The 20495-nt window shown below is 39.0% G+C and overlaps 1 protein-coding gene across 50 annotated transcripts in view; it reads right to left on the bottom strand.

The window, feature by feature from the left end:
• The window catches only part of BIRC6 (baculoviral IAP repeat containing 6), a 261856-nt gene that overhangs the window by 228945 nt on the left and 12416 nt on the right, over positions 1–20495 (bottom strand). For all 50 annotated transcript variants that reach the window (XM_006712055.4, XM_005264451.5, XM_047445167.1 and 47 more), the window contains exons 2-4: positions 12165–12346; positions 9644–9781; positions 991–1184 (exon numbers count right to left, since the gene is read on the bottom strand). In XM_006712055.4, the coding sequence (XP_006712118.1) occupies positions 991–1184; positions 9644–9781; positions 12165–12346 (514 nt within the window). The remainder of the gene's footprint in view (positions 1–990; positions 1185–9643; positions 9782–12164; positions 12347–20495) is intronic.

The following is a 20495-nucleotide window of genomic DNA, read 5'->3' as shown; positions in this document are numbered from 1 at the left end:
GAGCCGAGATCGTGCCATTGCACTCCAGCCTGGGCAACGAGCGAAACTCTATCTCAAAAAAAAAAAAAAATCAGCCATGCATGGTGGTGGACGGTTATAATTCCAGCTACTCAGGAGGCTGAGGCAGGAGAATCTCTTGAATCTGGGAGGCAGAGGTTGCAGTGAGCCAAGATTGTGCCACTACACTCCAGCCTAGGCGACAAGAGTGAAACTCCGTCTCAAAAATAAATAAATAAATACTACATGAAAAGGCAAACAAAAATCTAATCAAAATTGCTGCGTATTATATTTCAGTACAGCATTTCTAAACCTTGGTACTTTTTGTAAGAACCTCAATCGTCATTTCAAATAGCAAATCATTTAAGTATTTAAATGAATGTGTCACTGGTTTTTTAATTAATTAAACAAAATAGGCATTCAAAAAAACCTCTACCAAAGAAAATGATGGTTTAGGTATGATTTTTGTAATACTGTTTAAATCCAGGGCGAGCAGCATAAAAAATTGTTAACTCAAAATTATTCCTATTATTTTTTAAACTGGTCTTTTTTTTTTTTTCATTATAAAATGATAGCACTTTCCTTATACTCACATTAGGGCATGGTAAGTTAGGCAAAATTTATCTCAAAGGTCACAAAATGTCATCAATGGAAAAATAGTTATTAATCATTAAATAATTATAGTAATTTTAATTTGACTAAAATATTTACTAAGCAAGTACTAAACTGGAATTTCCAAAATGTGGCTTTATAATCCCTTCAAATACCTTTAGTGTACTAAAATATAGTGTTTAAAAATAGCAATTCAAGTAGCAGTTTACTTTAAATCTGGTTTTCAGATTCTAATTCATATTGATTTTTTTTTAATTTCAAAATTAGGCTAGAAATTGTGAAATTTTTAAAAATCATAACCAGATTTTCTAGTTATTCCTTGTTTAATGCAAAAACTAATCAATTCTATCTCACTGTCACCTTTGTTAGCAAGGTTCATACCTGTCTACAGAACGGCCTGGCCCCACTCCGAGTTCTGGACGTGCACTAGGTAAGAGGTAAGACAATCTGTCCATCACTGAGGACGCCACAGGTAAGGCAGCAACATTTTGATTTATTTTCTTGAGTTCATTTACAATGGCACTGGCAATGGACTTCAACACATGATGAGGAAGATGAAATGTAACTGTGGCCCACTGAAAGAAAATGGGAGTATAAGCAAAGGAAAATGTACTCAACAGTTTTAACCAAAATCATAACTTAACCATTATCAAATAAAGAACACTCATCAGTTTCAAGTCAGTTTTCTTCATTAGTTTATCATTTAAAACAGAAACTTGCAGTTATAAAAAAAAATAAAATATTTTACAAAAGCCAAGATATGGAACCAATCTAAGTATCCATCAATGGGTGACTGGGTAAAGAAAATGTGCAGTAAAGGCCAGGTGCAGTGGCTTACGCCTGTAATCCCAACACTTTGGGAAGCTTAGGAGGAATTAATTTTAGTGATCTGGTGACTGCAGTTACTAATCATGTATTGTATATTTCTTTTTTTTTTTTTTTTTGAGACGGAGTCTTACTCTGTCGCCAGGCTGGAATGCAGTGGTGCAATCTCGGCTCACTGCAACCTCTGCCTCCTGGGTTCAAGTGATTCTCCTGCCTCAGCCTCCTTGAGTAGCTGGGATTACAGGCATGCGCCACCATCCCTGGCTAATTTTTTTGTATTTTTAGTACAGACGGGGTTTCATCAGGTTGGTCAGGCTGATCTCCTGACCTGATGATCTGTCCGCCTCTGCCTCCCAAAGTGCTGGGATTACAGGCATGAGCCACTGCGCCTGGCCCACGTATTGTATATTTCAAAATTGCTAAAAGAATAGATTTTAAACATTCTCATCACAAAGAAATGGTAAGTAGGTGAGTTGATAGATATGTTAATTAGCTTAATTTAATCTTTCTATAATGTATACATATATTACAACATCACATTATACCTCATAAATATATACAATTATTTATCAATGAAAATTTTTTAATTTTTTAAATGAAACCTCAACTAACTATTCTGGAAAAGACAATTCAGAACCAGACAGTAACACATGTTCTTATATATATCACCAAAAATTAAGGACAACTAAAATCATCTGTCATTTTTCCTATTCATCCAGTACAATGTTAAGCACAGAGTAGGCACTCAAATACCTCCATCCATAAGAATATATTTAGACAATTACCATTACTGGGGTATATGAGGATTTAGTTCAGCTTAGCAGATGCATTGTTTTTGTTGCTGTTGTCACCATAATCCAGCAATAGCAACTAAAAACACAGGCCTTATAGTCACACATCTGGATTCTGGGCCCAGCTTCGCCATCAGCAATATTCGATAAATGTTAGCCATGATTATTTAATATTACAACAATTACTGAAGTTAGACCACAAAAATGCTAAGTACTATTCTCCCAGAGAAATAAGTCTATAATGTAATTGCATCTTTATATCCTGTCCCCAGTTCACCCATGAATGGTTTCTACTCTTGTCTAGTATACTCAAGGCAGCCTAGTAAATTATTATTTATCTATACAATACTGGAAAAACTTGTAGACAAAAACATGACTTGAATTGCTAAAAAAAAAAAAAAAAAAAAGAGGGAGAATGAAAACTTCTAGACCTAATTAATCTGTTCACAGATCAGAGCTTTTTATTGAAAGGGAGGATGACTCCCCTTGAGAAAGGATCCTATGATACCCCAACTATAGTTGGTACTGTAAATCATACTCCAAACCTTCCCTCAGAAAGACCTATGGGCATTCACTACAGTGACTGTGCATGGGGGAAAAGATCTTTCAGGCATTACAAAAACATGGCACTGAACTGACCTAAAACATCACTGTGGTCCAAGAAAGAGGGCACGTAGGATGGTCAAGCGATTAATAAAGTTTCAGCCCAAAGCTGTCTCAGAGAGTTCTATGGGTCTGTAAATCCTTATTGTGTAATAGTTACTTCCCCAGTTCCTGAATGCATAATATAAAACAGGCAACTGAAAACAATCCCCAGATTAGCTCTCTGCTCTTCTCTGTGGGCCAGTAATATAGAAAACATGAAGTATAAGCCCCTAGAACTTTCCTTCTCTACAAAGATATTAAACTAAAGCAATGCTACATTCCTGAAGAAATTTTTTAGATTAATGCCACTGTAAAAGATTTGAGGTTGGGCACAGTGCCTTCATACCTATAATCCTAGCACTTTGTGAGACTGAGGATGGAGGTTCGTTTGAGCCTAAACGTCTGAGACCATCCTGGTCAACATAGCAAGATCTCATCTCTACTAAAAAATAACAGCCAGGCGTGATGGCATGCACTTGTCATCCCAGCTACTCAGAAGCCTTGAGGTGGGAAAATCACTTGAGCCCAGGACGGCAAGGCTACAGTAAGCCAAAATCACACCACTGTACTCCAGCCTGAGTGACAGAGCAAGACCCTGTATTGGAAAAAAAAAAAAAAAGAGAGAGAGACTTAAAAGATACAGAGGTAATCAAATGACCTCGTCCCCTTTACTGGACTGTTGTAAATGAATCTTGAAGAATGACTGTGGATGGTAAACTATCAGGTGGCGACTTCCATTGCAGCTGCTTTTCCAAATGAGGTATCTTTATTAAAGCAAATCAACAAATCCCCTGATATCTGGTAGGTAGTTACAGTTCTATCCAATATTTTTCTATCTTTACTTTTAAGGACTATACAAAAAGTCCACTTTTACCTGGCAGGAACAATAATAAATCTTTGCAATCTTTCCCTAAGACCACATCTCACATTCTAGAAATCCTGATCATCCTAACATCCTGCAGATCAACATAATGGTCCACTACATCATGACAGCACGCTGATTGGTCCAGATGAAAAGGAAACAGCAAGGAAATTAAATGCCTGAGTAAGGTGCAAACCAGAGAATAAGAGTCCCCAGAAAAACTCAAGATTCTGCAACCATGGTTAAGTTTCAGAGGTCCAGAGGTCTGGTCATGTCAGGATATTCCCTCCAGACTGAAAGACAAGTTGCTCCAACTTGTAACACCAACCACAGAAACAAAAGCCACAGTACTTAGTGGGCCTACTTGGATTTGGGAGCCAATATTTAGCATACTTGAATGTGTGCTCTAATCCAAGTATCAAGAAACATATAAGGTTGCCAATTTTGAGTAAGGTGCAAAACAAGAAACTCTGCAACAAGACCAGACTGTACTGCAAGATGCTCTGCCACTTTTACCTTAAGAGCACTTTCAATGACACTGACACTAGAAGTCCACAGCAAATAATGATGCTGTAAGGAGCCTGTGGCAACCTAATTGGGACAATCACACAGCAGAATGCTAGGGTCTTGGAGCAAAGCCACACCCTCTCATGCAAATAACCATTCTCCTTTTGAAAAACAGCTCCTAGTTCCTTACTAGTCCCAGATAGAGATTAATATCTATCTACGAAACTAATGTCTACAAATTCAGAGCTGTCCAAATGTTATCTGACACACCAACCATAATATTGAGCACCAGCAACAAGTATCCTTCATCAAGTGTTTTATAAAAGATCTGTCTTCACAAAGTCCAAAAGGCAAAAACTGAATAAACAAGTGGCTCAGAATTCAATACCTACTCCCACTATAATGTCTCCTCCTTGTTCTACATCAATAGCTTCATGGGGAACTCCTTATGATGAAATAATATGAGGGGAAAATACTCTTGGCCCTGATTTACAGATGGTTCTGCATGATATGCTGGTACTACCCCGAAGTGGATGGCTACAGAATCATAGCCCCAATCACAAGGAGAGTGGTGAAGGTAAATCTTCTCAATAGATAGAACTTCAGTCAGTATGTATGACTGTTCTTGTATGGATTTAGAGTTGGCTAGAAGTAAAGATCCTCACTAGTTAACAGAGTTGCTAATTTGTTAGCTAGATGGTCAGGCACTTGGAAGAAACAGAACTAGAAGACTAGCAGCAAGGAGGTCAAAAACAAAGGTCTATGAATAGAACTCTCAGAGGGTAAAAATACGTATGAAATATGTCAATGCAGACCAAAAGGCATCCATTTCAGAAGAAATGGGAGAAGTTATACACATTATATACATGACAGTAAGCCTCTCTCCACGGGCACTCCAGTGCTTGCTCAATGGACTTGTGTGCAAAATACCATGGCAACAGATATGGAGGCTATGCACAGGCCCAAAAATGTAAACTTCCCTGTACCAATACTAACCAGGCTACAGCTGTTGCTGATTGCCTAATCTGCCAAACAGTTACCAAAGTTGGGTGGCAAATATCACGTCATTTCCCAGGGGGAACAGCCAGCTATCTGACAGTAGGTTGATTATACGGGATTCCTAGTCATGGACTAGGCAGCAATTTGTCTTCAACATAACAAATATATATTCTAGGTATGCATTTACCTGTTCTGTCCATAGTTTTCTGCCGTAATATTATATAGTCCATTGCCTGTGGACTGACAGAATGTCATGGTATTGTAGAAAACTTTGCTTCTGATCAAGAAAAGTATTTCAAAGCAAAAAAAAAAAAAAATCTTTTTTCCACTGGTCTTACTGTGTATCATCCTGATGAAGCTGGCCTGGCAGAAAAGCTCAATGGCCTACTAAAGACTCATTTTCAACGCTAACCGAAAGAGACATGCTGAAAGGTTATGGAGTTCTACCTTACAAGATGAAGCATATGCTTTGAATCAACCAAAAATGTATGATACAGTTTCTCTGGGCATGCCCACTATTATATTTAATAAACTCATTCACAGATTTTTTTTAAAGCTTTCAGCTCTACAGGTCTTACTCCCAAGGGAGGAATGTTCCAGCAGGGGTACAACAACACTTCCATTGAAGTGGGTGTTGAGATTGCTACCCAGCAACTTTGAGGTCCTCTTGCCACTGAATAAATAGTCAAAGAAGTTCTACTAGTTTGTATGACTGGAACTGACAAGCGGAAACCTGGATTGATGCTAAGTAACAGGGGCAAGGAGAACTTATGCAGAACCCAAGAGATTCTCTAGGATGCCCCTTAGTACTTCCAAGTCCAATAGTAAAGATGAAGTAACAATTACAACTTAAAATACAGCACCAGCTGGGCTTGGTGGCTCAAACCTGTAATCCCAGCACTTTGGGAGGCCAAGACGGTTGGATCACCTGAGGTCAGGAGTTCAAGACCAGCCTGGCCAACACAGTGAAACCCCGTCTCTACTAAAATACAAAAAATTAGCCAGGTGTGGTGGCCCGTGCCTATAGTCCCAGCTACTGGGGAGACTGAGGCAGGAGAATGACTTGAACCCAGAAGGCGGAGGTTGCAGTGAGCTGAGATCACTGCACTCCAGCCTGGGTGACAAAGTGAGACTCCATCTCAAAAAATAAAATAAAATAAAGACACAGCACCAGTGAGGATTCAGATTCTTCAAGAATGAAGATGGGTCGTTCATGTACGTAAAGAATCCTGACCAGTTGAGATGCTGAATGATGACAGAGCTAATAAGGAACAGGTAATACAAAAAAAAGAAATTAGATATCTTCTTGACTATTATACATCCTCTTGACCAATATATCCTCTTGACCATTATAAACTGAGGACTAGGCTCACGCCTGGAATCCCACCACTTTGGGAGGCCAAGGTGGGCAGATCACACGGTCAGGAGTTCAAGACCAGCCTGACCAACATGGTGAAACCGTCTCTACTAAAAATACAAAAGTTAGCCAGGCGTGGTGGCACGCGCCTGTAATCGCAGCTACTCGGGAGGCTGAGGCAGGAGAACCACCTGAACCCAGGAGGTGGAACTTGCAGTGAGCCGAGATCACACCACTGCACTCCAGCCTGGGTGACAGAGACAGACTCCGTCTAAGAAAAAAAAATTAAATTAAAAAATTAAATAAACTGAGGACCAGGCCACGTGCGGTGGCTCACACCTGTAACCCCAGCATTTTGGGAGGCCAAGGTGGGTGGATCATGAGGTCAGGAGTTCGAGACCAGCCTGACCAACATAGTGAAACCCCATGTCTATTAAAAATGCAAAAAGTAGCCAGGCATGGTGGTGCACATCTGTAATCCCAGCTACTCAGGAGGCTGAGGCAGGAGAACTGCTTGAACCCAGGAGACGGACGTTGCAGTGAGCCAAGATCGCACCACTGCACTCCAGCCTGGGCAACAGCACAAGACCCCATCTCCAAAAATAAAAATAAATTTTTTAAAAAGCATAATAGTTTTGTTATATGAAAGTTCAAATATATAAAGTGTGAATGGAGATGCTGAGTAGCCAAAGGGGTAGACTGTGCAGTTAATTAAACTGTTGTCTCTGAGCTCCAAATCTACCCTTTAATTCTCTGCTCTATCAGGTTGGGGCTAGGACTCTGCATACTGTATTTCCTCTTTTCAACCAGTTTCCTGGCTTTTAGGTTCTCCCAGCAACAGCACAGGAAGGAAACTGGAAAGAAAGATGAAGAAAGACTTGCTCCTTCTTATTTACTGGCCATTGCCATCAGCACTGTTTCAGCAAAGGACATGATGCAGTAGTTGATTCTTCCAGTCTTCAGCATTTTGTTTTGGTTTGGTTGTTTTAGCATTCCGAGATCCAGTTTCATAGAGTTCCCTCAGAGGTACTACCATCAGTCAAGTAGCATCTCTCTTCAGAGATCTGAGTCCCAGTTTTGCAACGCCCTCGTCCAAGCTCCTGAGTTACCAACTGGGTAGCACTTCCTAGTCCCAGATCCACGGGGCCTATTCTCTAAGTTTCTAGGTTCTGATAACCCCTAATCTCTACTCTTTGTTCCTCCAGACCTAGGTGAAAACTGCTTCCTATAGTTATCTCTGTTATCTCAGGATCTCCTTTTCACTTTTTCAGTTTTCAAACACCAGTTAATTTCTTACAATAAATTATCTCTGTTGAAACTCATAGGACAGTTTCTGTTTTCCTAAATAAAATGCCCCATCAATAGAGTAAGGTATAATACAATCATGACAAATCTACAAAAAAAAATTCAATGCAACTACTAAGAAGAACATAGATGATCTCTGAGGATATGAGAAGATATCCAAGACAAATTCTTGAGTGAAAAAAAGCAAGGTGGCCAGGCACGGTGGCTCACACCTGTAATCCCAACACTTTGGGAGGCCGAGATGGGTGAATCACGAGGTTAAGAGCTCAAGACAAGCCTGGCCAACATAGTGAAACCCAATTTCTACTAAAAATACAAAAATTAGCCAGGCATGGTGGCGTGTGCCTATAATCCCAGCTACTCGGGAGGCTGAGGCAGGAGAATAGCTTGAATCCACGAGGCGGAGGTTGCAGTGAGATAAGATCACACCACTGCACTCCAGCCTAGGTTACAGAGTGAGACTCTGTCTCGAACCAAAAAAAAAAAAAAAAAAGAGCCAGGTGCAGTGGTTCACACCTGTAATCCCAGCACTCTAGGAGGCCAAGGCAGGCAGATCACCTGAGGTCGGGAGTTCGCCACCTGCCTGACCAACATGGCGAAACCCTGTCTCTACTAAAAAATACAAAATTTGCCAGGCGTGGTGGCGCACGCCTGTAATCCCAGCTACTCAGGAGACTGAGGCAGGAGAATCACTTGAACCCGGGAGGCAGAGGTTGCAGTGAGCCGAGATTGTGCCATTGCGCTGCAGCCTGGGAAACAAGAGCAAAACTCTGTCTCAAAAGAAAAAATAAAAGAAAAAAAGCAAGGTATATCATAACACAATATTAGTATATTTTAGTATAGTTACAACTGCACTTGAGAAAAATCTTTGCAAATGCCCAAGTTACTTATAGGAAAATGGCTTTTACCTTCTACCTTATATCCTTCAATAACAGGGAAGTTTGATATGCAGTATAACTTAGAAAAGGCCTTAAAAGAAAAATCTGGAGGAAATTAATAAAAATATACCCAAGGATTTAATTGAAAGCACTGTCTCTCATATACATCCCAGTATGCCAAAAAATTTCAGAGAAAGCACAAAATGGCTCAATTTCCAAAGACATAGTCCATTCTTATCCAAGCATCCAAGCTCACAACCTAACAAGGAAGCTTCTTTCATCAGCCTCTTGACCAATCCAGGTCCATCAGGCACTAAGAAAGATTTAAGGAAGCATCAGAAAACACAATAAGCAAAATAGTTCCCACAAACTGAAGTTAAGCTTCGATTAAGAAGTTTCAAAGTTTCAACTTTTTTCTTTTTTTTTGGGCAACAGAGTCTCACTCTTTCCCCCAGGCTGTAGTGCAGTGGCGCAATCTCTGCAATCTCAGCTAACTCCGCCTCCTGGGTTCAAGTGATTCTCATGTCTCAGCCTCCAAGTAGCTGGGATTACAGGCGCCTGCCACCACGCCTGGCTAATTTTAGTATTTTTAATAGAGATGGGGTTTCGCCATGTTGGCCAGGCTGGTCTCAAACTCCTGACCTCAGGTGATCTGCCCGCCTCAGCCTCCCTCAGCTGGGATTACAGGTGTGAGCCACCGTGCCCAGCCAGTTTCAACTTTAAGATGACTTATAAGCACATTCTGCTTTTTAAAAGAAAAATCTAGAATTAGAACATTTCCAAAAGGAGAGGAAAGGAAAGTGCAAAAGAATGGAGGTGTCCATTGTAATATAACCCCAAAAGAGGCAATCTATTAACTTCTTACCTTAGCAACTTTGTGGTTTGCTGCAGTCTCATGAGATGTATTTTTTAAACCATCTTTGAGCTGTGTGATGAACAAATCATAACCCTCTGTACTAGAAATATCTACCTTTTCTAAACATGCTGATAAGAGCTGCTGTGCCTAAATAAAAAATAAAAAATAAAAAAATCACAGAAAATTCAACACAAGAACAACAAAAAATTAAATTCAGATCCTCTTTCAGATATTTTAATATGCAATGATTATGACAGGTACTATACTAAACTTACCTTTTAACAAATCTACTTAATTAAACAATAATTTAAAGGGCTATTATAAAATTAAATGAGATAAAGCAATGTATTCAGTGTAGAAATACTACATGGTAAAGTTTAAACACAAAGTAGTTATTGTAAACCAAATCAAGATAGAAAAATGGACAAGCTGAAACCATAAGCAAAAATAATACAGGAAAAAATCTGAAGAGACAAACTTAAAGTCCTCCAATGAGCTTTAAATACTCAAGCTATATAAAGTCATAATAGAGGACACTAAGTCAGCAAGTAATATGAAAAAGCCCTTTGCATTGTTATCCACATATTCAATATGAACTACTGTAATAAAGATATATGCTAATATAAGGAAAAGAATATATCTACACTGAGCAAATCAAACCTAAGACTTTAGGGAAGACAGTGACAAACTAATCTGATGCAGTAAAGGAAGCCTGGAATGCTGGAAGATCTACAAACAATATTATCTGAACAACAGTTACAGCTGTGATTAAAGTACAAAGAGAAAAAAAACAGTAGATTTAACAGTAAACTAGGTGGAGGAAGGGATAGAAGCTAAACAGCATTTCACTGTAGTAGGAAAAACACTGACTTGAGAGTTAATAAGTGTTCAAGTATTTTATTGTAATTCTTTAATTGTTTGTTAAACCTAAACATAGTTTGATAGTGTTTTTTTGCTGCTGATTATATATCCTGATATCAGCTGGTTTATATTCCTTAAATTAGGGAAAAATGTTCAATTTTTTCAAATGGTTTTTCAAAGTTTCTACTTGTTCAAATCAAGTAGAACTAATTAATTCTCTATCCAAAGATTTTAGACATGCCTCCAGACCCAAATACTCTGATGAGAAAAAGACAGCTTCTCTGTTTTTGGAACTCAAACTTTCAGCAACATGCTTTCAATATTAACATATAATAGACTACTGTTATATGACACTAAATGTAAAATCTAAGTGAATATACTTTATTGGACATACTTTTTTGATAACTTTCATAACAAGTTAGCATGAACACAAATAATATCTCACTTTATTATAGAACACAACATAATCTTTTACATTCTATTTAAGGTGATGCAAAATCCAGTAATTATGAAAAATGTACTTTCAAACTGCAGGATATGAAGCCACACAAAAGAATTTAAGTTGGGCTAGACTTAAAAATTAAGTAAAGAAAATTTAACACTACAGAAAAGTATATATGGCTAAAACTTAAAACTCAAGTTATTGAAAGACATGATGCATAGCAAAAATTACTGGTTGTGTGGCTGGGTGCGGTGGCTCACGCCTATAATCCCAGCACTTTGGGAGGCTGAGGCGGGCGGATCAATTGAAGTCAGGAGCTCAAGACCAGTCTGGCCAACATGGTGAAACCCGTCTCTACTAAAAATACAAAAATTAGCTGGGTGTGGTGGTGCATGCCTGTAATCCCAGCTACTAGGGAGGCTGAGGCAAGAGAATCACTTGAACCCGGGAGATGAAGGTTGCAGTGAGCCAAGGTCAAGCCACTGCACTCCTGCCTGGGTGACAGAGCAAGACTCTGACTCAAAGAAAAAAAAAAAAATTACTGCTGTTTTACCAGAGTCTATTCCTCTCTCATTTTAAAATATTAAAAAAAAGAAAGAAAGAACCACCTCTTTCCCAGTCTCCCTCTCAGCTTGGTGTGGTCATGTGACTAAATTCTGTCTAATGGGGTAAATATGAGGCTATATGAGAGAGTATTTGAGTTGTGAAAGGCAGAAAGAGAACAAGAACAAATGAGTAGGAGAGGGGGCTGGGGGTTAAGGGACAGGGAAAGGGAAGGAGAGAAGAGAGAGATGCCAGAGTGCTCTCCTCTAGCCTCTTGCCCTCTCTTTCCCTGTGACTGGGAAATAATGACACCTAGAGCAGCTGTCTTAAACTCCCAAGCTAACCCAAGTGTTGAGGTTGGCAATGATGGCCATACACTTAGCCCTGGACTATTATTGGAAACAAGCTATCCTGTTTAAGCCATTGTTTTTTTGGGTCTCGGTTACAGCTGTTTAACCTGTGCTGATGCACCATTCACACCTAAAAACACCACTTCAACAAGAATTAATTATGCAGAGAAAAGGTGAGTATTAATATTTAAATGAAGTTGTGGTCAATAAGTAAATTGTTTTTATAGCAATATATATAATAACGTCCTTAAAGGATGACTTAATTTCATTTAACATCTAATATGTCTAAGATTACATTAAGTAGAGGACCACATTGATACTTATTTCAACTTACCTCTGTAACGGGTAATTCAAGCTGAACCACATCATCCTGCTTTGAAACTGGAGTTTGCAGAGCAGTGTCTAACAACAAGATTCCATTAAGGTCCTTCCTACACCCTACTGCATAATCATCCACAAATATAACTTTATCCACAGCAGAGATATACTGACATTTCACCTGTCCACCTGGTTTAGCTGTTAAAAGAACAAAAATTCAACACTTAAGATTTTCAGGCCAATGGTCTATTAAAAATAAATGTTTACATAGTGACTAAACACAATATATTATCCTGAATTGGATCTTAAACTGGAAAAAACTTCTCTAAAGAACATTATTGGGCCAACTGGATTAAATTCAAATATGTACCATAAATTAGATAAAAGTATCAATGTGAAATTACTAAAATTTGACAACCAAATTGCTATTATAAAAGAACATCATTGTTCTGAGAAATAAACACAGCAACAGTATAGGGAAAATGAGCATGATATATGCAACCAACTCTCAAGTAGAATAAAATATGATGTGTATACACACACACACACACACACACACACACACACACACATATATATTAAGGGAATAATAAGCAAATGTAGTAAAATGTTTAAAACTAGTAGAGCTGGGTAAAGGGTATATAGGGAAGTTCTTTGTAACATTCTATTCTTGCAATTTTTCTGTAAGTGCAAAATGAAAGTGTTCAAAAACAAAACTTTTAAAAATGAATTATTGGATGTCATTTTTTGCAAAACTCAATAAGCATAAAGACAGCATGGACAGTTATTAGATACAGCAGTGCCCCTCCTTATCTGCAGTTTCACTTTGTGCAGTTTCAGTTACCCAGTCAATAGAAGCCCAAAAACAGGTAAGTATGGTACAATAAGATATTTTCAATCAAAGGTCCAAAAGTACAGTACATAAGATATTCTGAGAGACCACATTCACATAACTCCTAATATATTGTAATTGTTCTATTTTATTATTAGTTGTTAATCTGTCACTATGCCTACATTTTAAATTAAACTTTATTACAGGTATGCATAAGAAGAAAACCCAGCTAACCCTCGAACCATACAAGTTTGAACAGCATGAGACCACTCATACATAAATTTTTTTCCAATTCATACATTGAAAAAAATTTCAGAGATTTGTGACAATTTAAAAAACATGTAGACAAAACACGTAGCCTAGAAATATCTAAAAAATTAAGAAAACAGTATGTCACTGATGCATAAAATATATGTAGATATTAGTCTATTTGATCATTTACTGACATAAAATATACACAAATCTACTATAAAGTTAAAATTATCAAAACTTACGCACACAAATAGTACATGGCACCAGTCAAGAAAAATGTAAACAAATGTAAAAAATACAGTATTAAATCATAACTAAATAAAATTAGCTGTAGTACATATTATAAAACTGTGATAATTTTGTTCCTATTGCAGTGAGTTCAAGTGTTATGAGTACCACCATGTGACCCTAATCATATCCAGGTGAGCAGTTCATCTCTCAATTGTTAATTGGTAATCGCAGTAAAAAGTGATCTCTCCTGATTCTCATGTATTTTCCTTTTTTTTTTTTTTTTTTGAGACCGAGTCTTGCCCTGTCCCCCAGGCTGGAGTGCAGTGGCATGATCTCGGCTCACTGCAAGCTCTGCCTCCCGGGTTCATGCCATTCTCCTGCCTCAGCCTCCCGAGTAGCTGGGACTACAGATGCCTGCCACCTCACCCGGCTAATTTTTTTGTATTTTTAGCAAAGATGGGGTTTCACCGTATTAGCCAGGATGGTCTCGATCTCCTGACCTCCTGATCTGCCCGCCTGGGCCTCCCAAAGAGCCGGGATTATAGGCGTGAGCCACTGCGCCCGGCCATCTCATGTATTTTCATCGGGTTTAGTGCAATACCATAAACCCTGAATAACACTATGAAACCCATAAAAGGTAACACTAGTGATGCTCGAAGTGTTCCCAAAAGGCAGGGACAAGTCATATGATTACAATAAAAAGCTGAATTGCAAAAAAAAAAAAAAAGAGAGAGAAAGAAAATACATTTACGGCACTATATTGCACTTATCAATACGGTAAATGTATGTCATCTGTTTACAAAATGAATCCTGTGCCTGAAATGGCACGCAACCACAGCTGGAGACCTCAGTCTATGGTACGTATCAAGCAATTTGGCTTTTTCGGCCTGGCATGGTGGCTCATGCCTGTAATCTCAGCACTTTGGGAGGCCGAGGTGGGCGGATCACAAGGTCTGGAGTTTTTTGGGGGTTTTTTTTGTTTGTTTGTTTTTTTAGAGACAGGGTCTCGTTACGTTGCCCAGGGCAACGCCTGGGGCTCAAGCCATCCTCCTGAGTGGCTAGGACTACAGGAGCACACCACTGTGCCTGGCATGTCAACATACTTATTGGTAAAAGACTGAATACTTTCCCATACAGATCAGGAACAAGACAAGGATGTATGCTCTTACCATTCCTATTCAATACTATACTAAAAGATCTAGTCACTGCACTAAAAAATCAGGATATAAAAGGCAAACAAATCAAAAAGAAATAAAACTGTCCCTTTTTACAGAAATGATTACCCGTGTAGATAAAAATCAATCATACTTTTCTATACGAGCACTGATTAATCTAAAACCAAAATTTATTTTTAAAATACCAGTTTACAATAGCTCTAAAACATACTTAGACATACATATACACAAAAGGTGTATATGTATGCTGAAAAGTATAAAAGGCTGATTACACAAATCAAAAGCCTAAATAATACCATGTTCATGGACTGAACAAGTCAATCTGGTAAAAACCTCAACACTCCCCAAATGGATCTACAGATTTAACGGAATTTCAATCAAAATCCCAGGTGGCGTCAGCATGGTGGCTCACACCCATAATACAACACTTAGGGAGGCCTACACGGAAGGATCGCTTGAGCCAGGAGTTTGAGACCAGCCTGAGACAGACCCCGTATCTATCTTAATTTAAAAATTAAAAAAATTGCCGGGCGCGGTGGCTCACGCCTGTAATCCCAGCACTTTGGGAGGCCGAGGCAGGTGGATCACAAGGTCAGGAGATCGAGACCATCCTGGCTAACACAGTGAAACCCCGTCTCTACTAAAAATACAAAAAATTAGCCGGGCGTGGTGGCGGGCGCCTGTAGTCCCAGCTACTCGGGAGGCTGAGGCAGGAGAATGGCGTGAACCTGGGAGGCGGAGCTTGCAGTGAGCCAAGATCACGCCACTGCACTCCAGCCTGGGCGACAGAGTGAGACTCCGTCACAAAAAAAAAAAAAAAATTAAAAAAATTTAGCCAGGTGTAGTGGCACACACCTGTGGTTCTAGCTACTCGGACACTGAGGTGGGAGGATCACTTGAGCCCAGGAGTTCAAGGCTACAGTGAGCTATGATTGCACCATATAAATAAACTGACTGAAATGTATTTGAAAAGGCAGTACCACAAGAAAGTGTGGTACTGGCAAAGGACAGACATATAGCTCAATGGAACAAAATAGAGTCAAGAGATATGACTATATAAACATGGCCATTGGATTTTTTTCAATTATGTAGTTTTTTTAATTGTGGTAAAATAAACATAAAATTTACCATTTTATCATTTAAGTGTACAGTTGAGTGGTATTGAGTATATTCATGCTGTTGTTTATCCATCAGGATAAAGGGAAACTCTGTACGCTTTAAACAGTAACTGACTTTTATCCCCTCTCCCCAAAGCCTGGCAACCACTTTGCTACTTTCTGTCTTCATGAATTCGACTACTCTAAATATCTCACATGAATGGAAGGAATCATACAGTATTTTTCCTTTTGTGACTGGCTTATTTCCCTTAGCATAATGTCCTGAAGGTTCCTCCACATTAGAGCCTATGTCAGAATTTCCTTCCTTTTATCCATTCAACTATCAATGGACAGACACTTAGGTTGCTTCTGCCTTTTGGCTATTTCGAAGAGTGCTGCTATGAACACTGGTGTACAAATATCTCCTTGATTCCCTGCTTTCAATTCTTTGAGGTACACACCCAGAAACAGAACAGCGATCATATGGTAATTCTATTTTTTCCTTAATTTTCTGAGGAAACTCCACCATCTCCCATAATGGCTGCACCATTTTATATTCCCACCAGCAGTGCACAAGAGTGCCAATTTCTCCACATCCTCACCAACACTTATTCTCCGTTGTTGTATTTTGTATATGGTGTTAAAGTCCAACTTTATACTTTTTGCACGTGAGTATCCAGTCTTCCCAGCAACATTTGTTGAAAAGATTGTCGCTTCCCCCAATGAATGGTCTTGGCCTCCTTGCTGAAAATCATTTGACCATATATGCAATAGTTTATTTCTCGGCTCTATATTCCTTCAGTCTATATGTCCATCTTTATGCTGGTACTTTGCTATATTGATTACTGTAGCTTCATACTAAATTTTGAAATCAAGTGTTAATCTTCCAACTCTGTTCTTTGTCAAGATTATGTTGAACTATTTAGGGTCCCTTGAGATTCTATATGAATTTTAGAACAGATTTTTTTTTTTTCCTGCAGAAATAGAAAAAAGTTACTGGGATTTTGATAGGAATTGCAATGAGTCTGCAAATTGCAATGAGTCTGCAAATTGTTTGGGGCAGTATAGATATCTTAACAATATAAAGATAGTATGAAGTTCTGGCAAGGATGCAGAACAACTGGAACTCTCATACATTTCTAAAGGAAATACAAATGGTACAGCCACACTGGTTTGACAGTTTCTTACAAAGTTAAACACAAACTTACCAAATGGCCCTGTAATCCCACTTCTGTGTATTTACCCTGGAGACATAAAAGCTTATGTTCACACAAAAATCTATACTCAGAAGTTTATAGTCGCTCTATTTATAATCATCAAACATTGAAAACACCCAAATGTTTTTTTTTCTTTCTCTTTGTCTTTTTTTGAGACAAGGTCTCACTATGTCACTCAGGCTGGAATATAGTGGCGAAATCACTGCTCACCACAGCTTTGACCTCCAGGGCTCAGGTAATCCTCCCATCTTAGCCTCCCAAGTAGCTGGGACTACAGGCGCACACCATGATGTCTGGCTAATTTTTAGTATTTTTTGTAGATACAAAGTTTTGCCATGTTGCCCAACCTGGTCTCAAGTGATGTGCCCACCTCAGCCTCCCTAAGTGCTGGGATTACAGAATAAGCCACCACACCCAGCCCCAAACATATTTCAAAGAGTGACTGGCAAAACAAATAATGATGCATCAATACGATGGAATACTATTCAGTAATAAAAAAGGAATGAAATATTAATACATGCAAAAACTTGACAGAATCTCAAGGGCATCATGCTAAGTGCAAGCAGCTAGCATCAACAGGTTACATACTGAATGATTACATTTCAGTAACAATGTAGAAAACACAAAACTCCATAGTATGGAGAACAGATCAGTGGTCCCAAAAGATTAGTGGTAAAGGGAAGATGTGACTACAAAGTGATACCACAGGGAATTTTTTCAGGTGTTGAAACTGGTCTGTATCCTGACTGTGATGGTGGGTTACATCAATCTATGCATGTGTGTACCTGTATGACAAGTACACAAAAAATAGACAACTTTACTTTATATTCTATAAAAAATAAAAATTTTTAAATGATATTGTAAAGGAAAAAACACACCCAAGCGCAATGCCTTCACACCTGTAATCCCAGCACTTCAAGAGGCCGAGGCGGGCGGATCACTTGAGGTCAGGAGTTCGAGACCAGCCTGGCCAACCTGGTGAAACCCTGTCTCTACTAAAAATACAAAAATAACTGGGCACGGTGGCAGGCACCTGTAATCCCAGCTACTCAGGAGGCTGAGGCAGAAGAATCACTGGAACCAGGGAGGTGGAGGTTGCAGTGAGCCGAGATCGCGCCATTGCACTCTAGCCTGGGTGACGGAGTGAGACTCTGTCTCAAAACACAAACAAACAAAAAAAGAATAAACATGTACACATGGAGCAATAGCCTATTAACTATGCTATTAACTAAGGAGGGGGTAGTTCATAACACATCACTATGATCCAAATTCTATAAAAATATATTAAACAATAGAAGAGGCCAGGCATGGTAGCTCATGCCTGTAATCCCAGCACTTTGGGAGGCCGAGGCGGGCGGATTGCCTGAGCTCAGGAGTTTGAGAGCAGCCTGGGTAACACAGTGAAACCCCTGTATTTTGTCTCTACTAAAATACAAAAAATTAGCCGGGCATGGCGGCATGAACCTGTAGTCCCAGCTGCTCGGAAGGCTGAGGCAGGAGACTCACTTAAACCCAGAAGGCAGAGGTTGCAGTGAGCTGAGATTGCACCGCTGCTCTCCAGCCTGGGCAACAGAGCGAGACTCTGTCTCCAAAAAAAAATAATACTAATAGAAGAAAGTAAAAAGAAATGCCAAAATGTTAACAATGCCCATCTCTAGGTAATGAAATTATACGTACTTACTTTTTCCTTAGTCTGTCTAACATCCTATAAGGTATGTCCCTTTTAAAACTGAAAATTTCCTTTTTTTTTTTTTTTTTTTTTTTTTGAGACAGGGTCTCACTCTGTTGCCCAGGCTGGAGTGGTGCAATGGCGCAATCTCAACTCACTGCAACCTCTGCCTCCCAGGCTCAAGCAATCCTCCCGCCTCAGCCTCCCAAGTAGCTGAGACTACAGGTGTGTGACAGCACGCCCGGCTAATTTCTGTATTTTTTGTAGAGACAGGGTTTTGCCATGTTGCCCAGGATGGCAAAATTGAAAATTTCAAAGGAAAGAAATTTTAATTAGTTACCAATTCTAATACTTTAAGAAATAATGTACAACCCTAAAAAACTTGCAAAAATGTTACAAGAAATACATTATCTTTTCAAACTGACAATACACTGTAAAACTCCATTTCCACTGACATCTCATCAGACTTCAACGCTATTTTAAAATAGCCTATTAAAAGGTACTATATGCAAAGATCATTCAAAGTCAATAAAGAAGATACAAGCCTGTATCAGAACATCTCCTGTAACCCAAAAATATATACACCTACTATGTACCCACAAGAATTTTTAAAATTTTTTAAAAAGAAGGTACAAAATTAATGTAAGGTTCTCACAAAGCTTTTGATATAATTAACCAAAAATGAAATCATTTAATAAGAGAAAAAATGTTAGTAACACTATAGTATTAAAAGCCAAAATGAGTATTCCTATGAAGCAGAACTCACTGCAAAACAAGTTTGGGAAAGGTCAGTGACTGCACCACAAAGAAAGGGGTAACACATGATAAAATACAACATAAAACACAATGCAGGGACAGTGTTGTTTCAGGCAAGAGAACCAACATCTACTTAAGCACAGAAGAGGTTCTCCAAAAGATACAAAATTACTGGAATTAAGAGTTCCAAGTTATGATTCTCTTCATTCACATTAACCAAAAGTGTCATCAGACCACTTACTTTGCTATAATCTTTAGTATCTGACATCATTTGTTTTGAAAATATAATCACCACGAAAAATTTATCATGGAGAGGGCTCAATCTCTAAAGACCTACTACTCCGTGTAAGATACTTGCTGTGGGGTTTCTTCATATACATTGTTCAATTTATCACAGTTATATCTCTCAACGTCTTGGGACACATAAGTTATATTATTCCTTTAGGATGCTGAACTTGGCACACCCGTGCGTGCTGTGTGTGTGTGTGTGTGTGTATACATACACACATATATATACATACATATATATACATACATATATGCATATATATACACACACATACATACATACATATATATATATATATATATATATATATATATATATATATTTTTTTTTTTTTTTTTTTTAAGAGACAGGGTCTCACTATGTTGCCCAGGCTAACCTGGAACTCCTGGTCTCAAGCAATCTTCTCACCTCAGTCTCCCAAGCAGCTAGGACTACAGGTGTGCAACCTGGCTAAACTGGCTATAGTTAAGTAAAATTTGAAGACTAACTTCCCCAACTGATGTTGGGCAAGAGAACCCTTAACCGTCTGTAAATCAATGGCGCCGGGCGAGATGGCTCATGCCCGTAATCCCAGCACTTTGGGAAGCTGAGGTGGGCGGATCACTTGAGGTCAGGAGTTCGAGACCAGCCTGGCCAATAAGGTGAAACCCTGTCTCTACCAAAAACACAAAAATTAGCCGGGCGTGGTGGTGTGTGCCTGTAGTCCCAGCTACTCGGGAGGCTGAAGCAGAAGAAACGCTTGAACCCGGGAGGCGGAGGGTGTAGTGAGCCGAGATCACACTACTGCACTCCAGCCTGAGCAACAGAGCCAGACTACATCTCAAAAAAA

The sequence above is a fragment of the Homo sapiens genome, chromosome 2, assembly GCF_000001405.40.
Source record: "Homo sapiens chromosome 2, GRCh38.p14 Primary Assembly".
NCBI classification, from domain to species: domain Eukaryota; kingdom Metazoa; phylum Chordata; class Mammalia; order Primates; family Hominidae; genus Homo; species Homo sapiens.
The sequence above is the reverse complement of the archived record's forward strand: the minus strand, read 5'-3'. Positions and strand labels throughout refer to the sequence as shown.